We start from the raw sequence: 14,476 nt of genomic DNA, 5'->3' as shown, positions 1-14,476 counted from the left end.
TTATGACTGGATGAAATCATCTGAAAAACATCAAAAAAAAAAGATTTTTCAGTCTAAGAGAGTACAAAAGATATTAATATAACCAACTCTCAGGAAGCCACGTTTAAGCAGATACAAATGGACAGGTAGGACAAAAATCTTACATTCTTCAAAAAGATACATAATTTTGTAGTATTTTAATATTATAGTAAATCACAGAAATTCAAGTAAAAGAATAAAACTACAGTGCTCAAGAAGAGAGTATTTTTTAGCTATTTTATTTTATCTTATTTTTTTGAAACAGGGTCTTGCCTTGTCGCCCAGGCTGGAGTACAGTGGCACACGATCACAGCTCATTACAGCCTTGACCTCTTTGGCTCTGGTGATCCTCCTGCCTTAGCCTCCTGAGTAGCTGGAACCACAGGCATGCACCACCACACCCGGCTTTTTTTTTTTTTTTTTTTTTTTTTTTTTGGTAGAGATGGGGTCTCCCTGTGTTGCTCAGGCTGGTATCAAACTCCTGGACTCAAGTGATTCTCCCACCTGGGCCTCCCAAAGTGCTGGGATTACAGGCATGAGCCACTGTGCCCGGCCAGTTTAGAAAATGACCTCAAATTCACACACTAGGCACTACCTCAACTGCAATTCTAAAATCAGATCTAACTTAAAGTCTTCACTGTCCCTTGGTTAAGAAGTTAAAAAAAAAAAAAAAAAGGCACCAGTGTTCCCCGCCTTTAACTGATTAACAGGTTTTAAGGGAAAGAGGTCTCTTTAGGCACTTACTTGAAGCTAATTTAGGATACAAATTTCAAAACTTCTTCTACTCCATCTCTTGCAAAGTGAAGAATATATTTGTTTATGGGAGAAAATGGAGCTAAAAGCAAAGGAAACAGCAGCTTGCCCATTACTAATTTTATTTGGTCTCACTAAATGCTGACTTCTACTCTGCCCAATTTCAGTGTTTGTGTTATTTCAATCTCTTAATAACAGAAAGTATCTTTAACATATACAATACCCCAGGAAATTAATACATTACAAATTACGAGAGAAAATTAAATTTGGTTTTATTAGTCATTGTGAATAGGAATGCAAGCAATTATGATTTTTTTCAAAACTCTAATAGAATTCATATATTTAAGTTGAAAGAATAAGTACATTTTTTATTTTAAACCTTAATTTAGTGTTTTATGAACTTCTGATGACCCAGAATCACTGCTGGTCAATTTAAGAGCAGGTAGAAAGCAAGCACATACTTAGGCCTCCTTTTACTATGTAACTGTGTTGCTGTTTTCTTTTCCTCTGGACTCTTTGAAAGATCATCTCCTCCTGGTAGCTCAGGGGGCAGCGGTAAATCAGCAAGAAGACATCGGAGTTTCTTTTCTACTTCTTTTTTAACTGCTTTTACTGAAATATTTCCTCGTAAGCTGAAAGTGAAAGAAGTCAGACAAATAAAACAAAAATTTTGTTGACTAATAAAAATATGCTTATGACTTACATTTAAGTAGCAATAGTCATGAATATTCAACAGTATTTCACATTATAAGACTATTGTCCAAGTTTCTTTCCAGCTAAAGTAATACACTATACTCAACTGTATAATGCAAAATTTGGAGTAAAAATGATATAGAATTAGGTAAAAACTAAGGAAATCTGTATAAAGTAGGAACTTTAATGATAACTTTGTATCAATATTGATTAATTGTTAACGAATGTACCATACTGATGTAAGATATTAACAGTAAAGAAACTGGGTACGGGGTATTCAGGGTCCCTGTAGTATCTTCATAATTTTTCTATAAATGTAAGACTGTTATAAAAATAAAGTTTATTTTTTAAAACGATACAGAATTAACTATAAAACTGTACATTAAAATTGAAAATCAACTAAACATGCTTTGCATAAAAACTCAGTTTTGCAAAGCATTTTTCTTTTTTTTTTTCTTTTTTTTTTTTTTTGAGATGGAATCTCACTGTCACCCAAGCTGGAGTGCAGTGGCAAGATCCTGGCTCACTGCAACCTCCACCTCCTGGGTTCAAGCGATTATCTTGTCTCAAGCCTCCCAAATAGCTGGGATTACAGGTGCCCGCCACCACAACCAGCTAATTTTTGTATTTTTAATAGAGACGGGGTTTCACCATGTTGGCCAGGCTGGTCTTGAACTCCCAACCTCAAGTGATCCACCCGCCTTGGCCTCACAACGCTCAGCTGCAAAGCATTTAGTTTGATTCTGGTAGAGACACAAAACATTTTACCGTAAGAAATAAAAGAAAGCACATGATAATATTTATCTTGCCCATTTAAATAACCACAAGCAACAGCTAATTCAGCTTTGACCCTTTTCAGGGTTAATTAATTTTTCTAAATTGGACAATTATTCTTCTAATTTTTTTAAGATTCCAGCTTTCTAGAATTACAGCTGAAATTTAAACTCCATTAGCTTTGTACTTTTTATGAATGCATAAAGAGCTCTGAGTTTTAAAGTATATCTTAACTTGGCAATTTATTTTAAATTTCCCTGATATGACAAAGTCTGTCATCTAATATAATGTGACATGTTGAAAGAGAATCTCATAATGATAATAAAATTTGGACTTCACATACTTTCATAGCAGTTGAGTCCCATAATGAAAAAATTTATTGCAACTACACTGCTGTGATCAGAAATTACTGAAGATATTATCAATGTAAATAATGTAATTGTAATTATCCTCCTATTCGTGTTGAATAATACTGTAAAACAAATGAATCCTTTAATACCACTTGATAAAAACAACTTAATAATACCATCTGATAAAAACGACTTAATTATCATAGTAAATTTATGTCCTGTGTTACTCACTGGAAGGTTCTTTAACAGAGAAAAAACATGCTTTAAAACAAATTGGTTTGTAGTTTTGTTTTGTTTCTTTAAGACAGTCTTGCTTTGTCACCCAGGCTGGAGTGCAGTGGCATGATCCAGACGGAGTGCAACCTCCATCTCCCGAGTTCAAGCGATTCTCCTGCCTCAGCCTCCTGAGTAGCTGGGACTACAGGTGCGTGCCACCATGCCCGGCTAATTTTTTTGTATTTCTAGTAGAGATGGGGTTTCACCATGTTGGCCAGGCTGGTCTTGTACTCCCGACCTCAGATGATCCACCTGCCTCGGCCTCCCAGAGAGCTGGGATTACAGGCGTGAGCCACCATGCCAGGCCTGCAGTTTTATTTTTAAAGTAATATATTACACAGCCCACTTCTCAATTTGCCTCTCCCTCCATTCAGCAAATATTGGTTGTGAGCTTCCATGTGCTAGGTATTTGTAAGGCACTGGAAATTTAACAACAAACACATTAAGCTATAGTTTCTTTCAAAAAGAGCTTACAGTCTGGAAGACAGGTAGGAAGTAGGATAAAGTGTTACACAAACAGATTCCTAGAGTAATGAAGTAGCTAAAGGGTGGCTAAATCAGGTCTGAAATACAGTAAAGGCTTCTTTCTAGAAAAGGTATCACCTGAATGCCAACTGAAAATAGGCCTATTTAGAATAACTTATTTAGGAAACTATAGTCTCTAACTTGTAATGAGGCTTTAGTCAAGAGTTCTTATTTGAAGATTCAAATCAACATTTTTTAGAGCAAAAAACTAAAGTCTTAATTTCACTTATAATTTAAAACTTAAAAGACTATCTATATTAAATGTCCAGTGTATTATCGAATATTACTTTCCAAGAACAATGTTACATAATTTAAAACATTTTTATTGAATATTTGCAATAATAAAATAGAAAATGAGCTTTTTAAAAACACTTCTATACACCCCAGCAACAAAAATAAAATGCCTTAAAAAGAAATACACACCAGCAACAGAAAAAAATAAAACATTTGACTGAAGAAATAAAATTAGATCTGAACGAATGAAAAGAAACCATGTTTTAATATGGGAAACTAATATTATAAAGCTGTCTCCAAATTATGACTGTATTAGATTTAATAGAGTTCCAAAAAAAATTCAAGGAAGAGTTGTTTTTTTTTTTAAATACAACTTGACAACCTGATTATAAAATTTGTCTAAGAATAACGGCAAAAGAACTGCCAAGAAGTTTCTCAAAAAGAAAAATTAAGTGGCATTTGCCCTGTCAACCTATTCAGAGATCCAGAACTAAAAGCCAAACGGTGGCTGAAGTCAAAGGATATATATTACTCAGTCTATCCAATGTTTTATAAAGAACTATGAATTGTAATTTTAAATCCAAAGATTTACATAATATTCAGGTTCTAGGCTTCCTCTTTTAAAAAAGCAAAAGTTCTAAGACAAGCTTAAATTCTTGTAGAGCAACATTGATGTTGAGGCTCAACAGCAGAGCCATTTACGCATCACTAATTTACTCCATCCCCTTCATTTTTATATTACTGTCTGCCCCTAAAATAGAAATTTGAGTTTGGGAGCCAATATAGAATGTATCTAAAGACACTACAACAGTTAAGATACTGACAAATACAATATGTTAAAAGAAAAGAAAGTAGAGAAACAGATATATGTAAGAATTTTTATATATGGAAATTAGTGAGATGAATTATACAATAAACGGTACCAGTAACAACACTGGGTTGGGGGGAGTGAAGAATCAGAACACTTCTTTACACAATAACCAAAACCAAACTTCTATCAGATCTGACTTAACCTTTTTAAATTTTATAAACCTAGAAGTTTTAAAGGAAAGAGAATAATAGATTTGACTAGATAAAAATGGAAAACATTCATATAACCAAAAGCAAAACAAATGTCAAAAATAAGCAACAGACTCTGAGAAGCAAAGGTCAACATCCCTAACATATCTACTAAACATCAATTCGAAAAAGGGAAACAACTTTAAGGAAAATCCAGCACAGAATACAAGCAAGCAATTCACCAGAAAAATAATAAACAACCAATAAACATTCAAGAAAATACCATACCTTATTATCAGAAAAATGCAAAATTAATTACATATTTTAAAGACTGTCAAAATTGACACTATCCAAAACTGTTAAGGCAATTTCATACATCTGGGTGCATAAATTGTTACACAGCCTTACTAAGACATAATGTGACAGTTTGTATCAAATTTTTAATGTGTATACTTTGACATGTAACTATCCTATAAAAATTACCTAAATATACACAAAATATTAATATATAAGGAGAGTTTAATAGCGAATAATTATAAACCTAAGTATCCATTAATCAACAGAAGAACACGATACATCCATTCCTGTAATAAGAATATTGGGCCCATCTATACCAACATGGAAAGATCTCTAACATATTAAATGAAAAAGCAAGTCAAGAAACATTATCCATGGTATGATTCTAATTTTAAAAATAATAATAAAACAACTACATTCTGTGAAAACACACAGATTACCATCTATCTCATGATTTTGTGGGAAAACAGACTGTAATTTTGAGAATGAAGCAAAATTCAAAGTGAACCTAACATATACCTTTAACTAGAAAGCAAGGAAACACAAAAAAACAAACGAGGTCATGTCAAAAGAATAAAGGAGTCAGCTTATAGGAGCTTCCACTGGCCAAATTTCGGACAATGTGAGGGTAAAAAAGAGTAGTGGCTATTACTATTTGTAACACAGAAAATAAATAAAAATCCATGAGAGTAGAATGATTAAATGGGATATGGGGAAACACGTATTTACAAAACAAGGCCAGCTAATGTTAAAAGGAATGGCAGAATTAGAAAATAACCATTTTTAATTTGTGCAGCAGCAATGGAAAAAAAAATCACCATGTGCAGTCCCTACTACAGTAACTGAATTAGACAAATACCATTAACGGTTGCTAAACCATTAGGTGATAGGTTGTTGGGAAAAAGGATATTCAATCACTGCCAAAAATATTACCCTACAGCTCACTTCTAATTGCAAAGAGGAAAATGCACCCTCATATATGGAGAGACCTTAACGTTGCTCATCACCTTAACCAAGTGATCACATCACTACTAGTAGAGTAAAACAATCTGATATTTTGGTCCTCCTGTAACAACAGCATAAAGTACATAAAATCACCTCTTAAATATTCTGGCTAAAAAACTGTGTATTCTTTATATAAACAAAGCACAAGTAATTTCCAGATTATGGGAAATAAAGGGGTTAGAGAAGAACAAGTTAAACGATACCAAGAAGAAATAATCAGATAAATCCAAAGGTGAGACATTCTGTAAGATTACTGGCCTAGACTCTTCAAAAAGTCATAGGGCTGGGGGCAGGGGGTAGGGGGGGAGTACTGATTATTGATTATATATAGTGGATGATATTATTATTTATTTCTGTTAGATTAACTACTGTTGATTTCCTTGTTATCACAATGATACTGTGATCAAGCAGGAGACTGACCTTATTCTTGGGAGATGACTTAAGTATTTACAGTATAGTAAAAAGAAAAGTATACACAGCTGGGAGCGGTGGCTCATGCCTGTAATCCCAACATTTTGGGAGGCCGAGGCAGGAGGATCACAAGGTCAGGGGTTTGAGACCAGCCTGGCCAACACGGTGAAACCCCATCTCAACTAAAAATACAAAATTTAGCTGGGCATGCTGGTGTGCGCCTGTAACCCCAGCTACTCCGGAAGCTGAGGCAGGGGAACTGCTTGAACCCAGGAGGCGGAGGTTGCAGCGAGCCTAGATGGCGCCACTGCATTCCAGCCTGGGCAACAGGGCAAGACTTCATCTCGGGGAGAAGTGTATACACACACACACACACACACACACACACACACACACACCCTCATTAGTTCTCTTAAACAACTAGAGATGGAGCGTGTGTGCTTGTGTGTGTGTGTGCGTGTGTGTGTGTGTGTGTGTGTGTGTGTGTGTGTATAATTTTTTCCTTTTTTTGAGACAGGGTCTCACTCTGTCACCCAGGCAGGAGTGCAGTGGTGCAATCACAGCTCACTGCATCCTCGACCTCTTGGGCTCAGGTGATGCTCCCACCTCAGCCTCCCAAGTAGCTGGGACTACAGGCCTGCACCACCACAGCAGGCTAATTTTTGTATTTTTTGAAGAGATGGGGTTTCACCATGTTGCCGAGGCTCCTCTCAAACTCCTGGATTCAGCCATCTGCCCACCTTGGCTTCCCAAAGTGCTTATTACACTTTGGGATTACAACTGTGAGCCACCACACCTGCTGAGATGGAGCATATAAAACAAAATGTTAACACTTCGTTAATCTAGATGGATAACTTCCATCCAGTAGTTCCAGTAGTTACACAGATGCTAATTGTATTATTATTTCAATTTTTCTAAGTGCTTGAATATTTTAAAAATAAAGAATTTATGAGGGAAGGGGAGAATTTACTTGGACATATAATAAAACAGCAAAAGCAAGTGGAGTACAGGTTTGCAAAATCAAGAGGCCATCCAAAACACACACACACACACACACACACACACACACACACACACTTTTGCTAATGTATTTGTGGATACAACAGTGAAAGTCAACCAGGAATATAGATACAGGCATGCTCAAAGAAAGCAAAGATCAAAAGCTTTCCTTAAGATACAGCAATGAGATTATGCAGACCATTACTCACTCTTCTTTAAAGTGATCTTTACATTTACAGTGAGTAACAAGTAAATAAAGATACCTCCCATATTCGGGTTTCCTAAAGTATGTTGTAACAGAAAAGATTGTTTCTTTACCTCAAGAGAAATAGTTTATAAACCACTTTCAACTAATAGCTGTTCAGCAAAAAACAAAAAGTATACAATGGTTACTAAAAAGAAACTTGTAAACAAAATTACCAAGAGCATTACTTTCAGATACATGAAAAAAATGGCCTGGGGGTGGTCCCCCTTCATTATAAAAGGGGATGGAAAACCAACCAATAGTTCCTCTTTTACAAAAACCAATCCTTTTCAAATGAAGCACTAGGTCTATTCGTTACACACCGGATCTACATGTTACACATATAATGGTTTATATATTATACAATGTAAATCATATTTTGTAATTTTTACTTTTTTTCAATAATCTAAAGCAGTTTTAAATATCTGTAGTATTTCCAGCAGTGCTGATTTATACTATGACTAATTACAATAACTGAGATGCATAACACTTTACAGCTTGCAAAATTCAGTCCATCAACTAATTTAATCTTTACAACTAATCTGTGAGGTTAAACTGTAAATATTTTCACCCATGAATAGAACTATGGACTGGGGCACAGAAAGATTAACTCATGAGAGTAGTAAGAGGTACAACTGGCACTAAAAACTAAGCTTTCTACTACAGCCCACTAACAAATGTTATTGTACTTCTAACAGTATTATAAATAGTAAATATAAAATAAGTCTCCTGTGCCATCCATTCCCTTCAGCGCCCATTTATTTCCAAAAGTAATCACTTCTAACCATTTCTTTTTACAATACATTTTTATTTAATCACCTAAAAACTTTTATAAAAAGTAAAACAATATCAAGTCTCTTCCTCATATGTAGTTAGTACATACATTTAGGTAAATTATAGACATCAAAATAAGGAAAGTTCCATTGGTGATGAGTTAATCTTTGGCCACACAGACATGTAGTAGAAGTGCTCATGAATCTTTAGAAACTTCCGTATCCATTAAACATACAAACACATTCAAAGAAAGAAGAGACAACAAAAAGGGGGAAAAGGAGAGGAGACAGAAAAGGTGAATCAAAAAAAAAAAGTAATGAACAAGAATTAAATGTGCCACCAACTAATTAAAGACAGATGCATAAGGAATATCCTCATTAAGCACTCACATGTATACGTAAGAGTTCTTGAAAATAACCTAGTAAAAATTTACTCCTAAAGCATACATGAAGAATAAAGTAGGTTGGGCGCAGTGGCTCACGCCTGTAATCCCAACACTTTGGGAGGCCAAGGCAAGTGGATCGTGAGGTCAGGAGATCGAGACCATCCTGGCTAACATGGTGAAGCCCCCCGTCTCTACTAAAAATACAAAAAATTAGCCGGGCTTGGTGGCGGGCGCCTGTAGTCCCACCTACTCGGGAGGCTGAGGCAGAAGAACGGCATGAACCCAGGAGGCAGAGCTTGCAGTGAGCCGAGAGAGCGCCACTGCACTCCAGCCTCGGCAAAAGAGCAAGACTCCGTCTCAAAAAAAAAAAAAAAAGGATAAAGTAGAGAAACACCAGTCTCAATGAAACATGGATTCTCAGTAACTGGTTACTCTCTAATGAAGTAATTCAATTCCACACTCAAGCCTCACAATTACAAATCACTACTGTTATGAACCTTCAGCGTTCCCTGAGAACAGTCAAACCTGCAAATACAACAATTATAGTAGTATAATTAAATAACACCCGATTAAATTGGATGGGGTCTCCCAACAACATTTTGATTATTTTTAAAAAGGCACCTCAAAGGGCATGAAACTCAAGAATTATTATTTCACTTTTGTTTGTGTTAAATTATAAAATTTTCATAATGCCAAAGTAAGCACTTGTCCACATGGCATTTTTATCCATCTGACTTCAAAATCTATTAAAAAAAAAAAAATCAGCTAGGAAAACTACTCATATAGTTGCTTTTTAATGGGGAGTGGGAGGGGGTGGAAGCTCTAATTTCTTCATAAAAATAAAAACAGCTAGGTGGTGTAACAGGCAGATAAACCACACAAGTCTAATTTTTCTACACTAGGATACAAAAAAGAAACATTCTTAGCTGTATTTTTACTGCCTCTTAAGAATATGTTTCTCAATAAAAAATAAGCCATACCCTCACTGTTCATAATAGAAATTTTTAAACATCTTAAAGGAAAGCATAATCACATTATGAATTTTCTCTTTTTTTTTTTTTTTTTTTTTTTTTGGTGAGACACGGTCTTACTGTGTCACCCAGGCTGGAGTGCAGTGGCGCAATCTCGGCTCACTGCAACCTCCACCTCCCAGGTTCAAGTGACTCTCCTGCCTCAGCCTCCCTAGTAGCTGGGATTACAGGCACCTGCCACTGCGCCCAGCTAAGTTTTTTGTATTTTTAGTAGAGACGGGGTTTCACCATGTTGGCCAGGCTGGTCTTGAACTCCTGACCTCAGGTGATCCACCCGCCTCGGCCTCCCAAAGTGCTGGGATTACAGGCTTGAGCCACCAGGCCTGGCCACATTATGAGTTTTCTATAATATAATGTGATTAATCCCAACTGCAAGACAGGCTAAAAAAATTTTTTTTTAATTAAAAGAGTTAAGAAAAGACTAAACTAAAAAGTGATAACAAAATCACTGACAGTGATAAATTTACAAGGCCACTGAAGAAACTTAGAAATAAATGAGACAAATGCTTGTGAGATGTATATTAACTAGGGCCAACTTATTCATAAAATATTCTGTCTCTGATTACATCATCAAGGAAAACTAAACCAAAGAGAATACTGGCATTTCTAATACCCAAAATCATATTGAAATATTCATTGTATCCCAAGACAATGGCAATTTTTCCCTGAATGTCTTAGTATAAACTTTAATTTTGCCATCTTGTATGCAATGTGCTTCATTTTAAGATGCATATAATCAAGAAAATTCATTCACTTGTAGTCTTTTTCACTAAAGTTGTTTCGAGGGGGTTAGGGGAGGTCAACTCATTTCTCACTTCAGACTTACATTTTTTCTTTGAACAGTTATTGACAAATACTTTTTGCACTTACCTATCAGCTTCTTTATCTTCAGGCAGCATGGGAGGCAAAGGTAACGGTGGTAATGTAGAGGTGACTAAAGCTACATGTTGCTCCTTCTCCTTGGCTCCTATGCTTGGTGTAAGTGGTTTGGTTTTCTCTTTAAGAGATACTGATTCCTCCTTTGTAGCAGCAGATTTACTCTCCTTTCCAACTATGACTGCTTTCTTGGTGGCTTTATCTACAATCAAATTATTTTCCACCTTCGTTACCTGAAGAGGTGGCTTTGTTTTTGCTTTGTCATTTTTTAAAGTTCCACCACTTGAGGGAGAAGGTGCATGTTCAATTTTAATTTTCTTCACATCCTTCACATGGTTTGTTTGTGATGCACTGGCACTAGTTTCCGTGTTCCCCTTGGTAGGTGTAGAAGTGTTTGAAGCTTTTGCAGCCTTGGCAGCAGCCTCAGCAGCCTTAGTTGCTTCTGCAGCTTTCGCTGCTTCTGCGGCTCTTGCTGCCTCTGCTGCTCGTGCTTTTTTATTCTTGTTCAATTCAGCTGCCAGGCTACTCTTCAGAGTTAGTGTGCTAGGAGAAATACTAGAATGACGACTTCTGGATCTAGACAATCTGTGCCTGCTACGAGATCTTGAATGCCTAGATGAATACGGGCTTCTGCTTCGGGATTTTCCAGACCGTCTGGTGAGAAATAATTAAGATTTAATCAGTAATTGAGAAAGGTTCAGTTTGGAATTTACAAAGACAGTGCTAATTCAAGTTTATGAAATAAAATAGAAATTTACTTAATTTCAAAGTTACATTTTTGAAGTTTTGAAAAATAAAAATTTCTTTAAAGTAGAGTATTATTTGGTGATCATAGTTTTCTTCAAAATGGATTGCCCTGATCTCGCTCTGGTCTACAAATGTAAAAATTAGGACGAAAAATGTGACAAGGCATCACTGCTGTCTCAGAAAAAAGAAGTAGGCAATAAGGCTACATCAATGGTAGTAGTAGCAGCAGGGTAAAGTCTGACAAATCTTTTACCAGGAGACAGTTGCCACATCTCAAAAGTACCTTCCTCAACTGTAAGTTCAGAAGTAAGCAGTGCTCTGTCTATGGCAAGAGTGAAAAAGACAAGACTTACTACTGGGCAATAAGTAGAGTCTCTTAGAGTTCGTTTCAGAAAGATAGTTTTAAGAAAATTTACAGCCAGGCGTGATGTCTCACGCCTGTAATCACAGCACTTTGGGAGGCCAAGGCGGGCGGATCACGAGGTCAGGAGTTCGAGACCAGCCTGGCCAACATAGTGAATGAAACCCCGTCTCTACTAAAACTATAAAAATTAGCCCGGCATGGTGGCACACGCCTGTAGTCCCAGCCACTCAGGAGGCTAGGGCAGGAGAATTACTTGAACCTGGGAGGCGGAGGGCTCCATTCAAAAAAATTAAAAAATTACATTCACACACAGTAACTAAAATAGACATAAGCATAATCACTTTACTCACGTAAACACACATATACAAGATAATAGCTTATGAGCTACATAATTTCACACAGAAAATGCAACAAAGTAAAAACTATCCAATCACTCTTAATCTGAGGCTCTGATACTTTTCAAAATGAATGAGAGTAAAAAAGTTAATATACATATCATTTAAGTCTTCAAAGTACTTGACAACTATTATTTTACCATAATATTAAACATTTACTAGTTAAGTATTATTACTCAATTTCTTAGAAAGGAAAAGCACAGAGAGGCAAAGTAAAAATAATTCCCACAAAGAACTATGCCACAAATAGTAGTATAGTCTGAACTAGGACTTAGGTTTTCAGGCTTCTGGCTCTATAAAACAATGACAAACTAAATCTTGGAAACTACTTGATAATAATGAGGCCATTCACTTCTCAAAAATTATTGGAAAACATATATTTAAAAGTATAGTGGCAAGCAAAGTTCCCACAAATTTAACACAGTACCAAGTGAAAGGAAGCTGAGGTTTTCAAATCCATGCATTACCAAGACTTTTAAAATATACTCACAAGACAAAGACATTATGATAGTACTTTCACATTATCTCATTTAATGCCCTCATCAACCCAGTAAAGTATGCATAGTTAACAGATAAGAAATTGGGTAAAATATTACGTTACCTGAAGTCAACACCTGAACTCATTAGTAGTTGTGTTGCTTATTATCTTACTACAACTGCCCTATCTCCCAATACCTTTCTGCCCTACTCTGTGCCCAATGATGCTGACCCCAACAGATATGCCTTCTGAGTTCCAGGGCTGTTCTGCCACTGACAGAAGGAGGCAGAGAAAGGCTGGATTATTTCTTCCTAGCTCCCTCCCTCCTCATGGCCACATTTTCTGGAAGAAGCTGCATCCCTCCACCGCCATGGTTGCTGTGAGGCACCCTCTTCACAGCTCTCAAGAGACTCCAATAACACTGTATTTTTCCTGGCCCTTTGGGCTTCTCTGCTGCTAGTAAAAACATGCCTTATGGGTTCCCTTAATCCACGGCACCTCTGTAGTCCCTGCATTAAAGTCTCTTATAAGATCTGAGTTGGATTCTATTTTTATCTACAACTCAGGTCTGAAACTCAGCATTTTTTTTAACTCTAAAGTAGGCAGGTTAACACATTAACACACTGCCAAGGAGCTAGCTGGCGAGAATGTGGAGAAAAGGGAACCCTTGTACACTGTAGATGGGAATGTAAATTAGTATAACCACTGTGAAGAACAGTTTGGAGGTTCCTCAAAAAGCTAAAACTAGAGCTATCTTATAATTCGGCAATCCCACTCCTAGGTACATACCCCAAAGAAAGGAAATCAATAATACTAAAGAGATACCTGCACTCCCATGTTTATTGCAGCACTATTCACATTAGCCAAGATTTGGAAGTAACCTAAGTGTCCATCAACAGATGAATGGATAAAGAAAATGTGGTACATATAAACAATCTAGTACTATTCAGCCATAAAAAGAAAATGAGATCCCGTCACTTGCAACAGCATGGATGGAACTAGAGGTCATCATGTTACGTAAAATAAGTGAGGCACAGAAAGGCAAACTTTGCATGTTCTCACTTATTTGTGGGAGCTAAAAATTAAAACAATTCAACTCATGGAGATAGAGAGTAGAAGGACGGTTACCAGAGGCTGGAGGGGTAGTGACATGGTGGAGGGTCGGGGGAGGGTTAATGGGCACAAAAAATACAAAGAATGAAGGTGACCTACTATTTGCTAGCACAATAGGCTGACTATAGTCACATTTTTTTTCTTTTTTTTTTTGTTTTTAGTCAGAGTCTCGCTCCAGCCCTGGCTGGAGTGCAGTGGTGCAATCTCGGCTCATTGCAGCCTTTGCCTACCGGGTTCAAGCGATTATCCTGCCTCCTGGGTTCAAGCGATTCTCCTGCCTCAGCCTCCTGATAGCTGATACTACAGGCATGCCTGCACCATGCCTGGCTAGTATTTGTATTTTTAGTAGAGACAGGGTTTCACCATGTTAGCCAGGCTGGTCTCGAACTCCTGACCTCAGGTGATCTGCCTGCCTCGGCCTCCCAAAGTGCTGGGATTACAGGTGTGAACCACCACACCCAGCCAACAGTCAAAAATAATTTAAGTGTACATTTACAAAAAACCATAAGAGGATAGTTGGATTGTCTGTAACACAAAGGATAAATGCTTGTAACACAAAGGATAAAAGGATGCCCCATTTACCCTGACATGACTAATATGCATGCATGCCTGTATCAAAATATCTCATGTAACCCATAAATATATACATCTACTATGCACCCACAAAATTTTTTTAAATTTTTATTTCGTGAATTTTTTTAATTCAAAAAAAATAATAAATAGGCAGATAATTTT

The 14,476-nt window shown here is 36.6% G+C and overlaps 1 protein-coding gene across 5 annotated transcripts in view; it reads right to left on the bottom strand.

Moving 5' to 3' along the window:
- The window catches only part of CDK13 (cyclin dependent kinase 13), a 149,325-nt gene that overhangs the window by 100,684 nt on the left and 34,165 nt on the right, over window positions 1-14,476 (bottom strand). For all 5 annotated transcript variants that reach the window (XM_017012750.3, XM_017012751.3, NM_003718.5 and 2 more), the window contains exons 2-3: window positions 10,639-11,298; window positions 1,233-1,403 (exon numbers count right to left, since the gene is read on the bottom strand). In XM_017012750.3, the coding sequence (XP_016868239.1) occupies window positions 1,233-1,403; window positions 10,639-11,298 (831 nt within the window). The remainder of the gene's footprint in view (window positions 1-1,232; window positions 1,404-10,638; window positions 11,299-14,476) is intronic.

This window comes from Homo sapiens, chromosome 7 (assembly GCF_000001405.40).
Source record: "Homo sapiens chromosome 7, GRCh38.p14 Primary Assembly".
Lineage (NCBI taxonomy): Eukaryota > Metazoa > Chordata > Mammalia > Primates > Hominidae > Homo > Homo sapiens.
The sequence above is the reverse complement of the archived record's forward strand: the minus strand, read 5'-3'. Positions and strand labels throughout refer to the sequence as shown.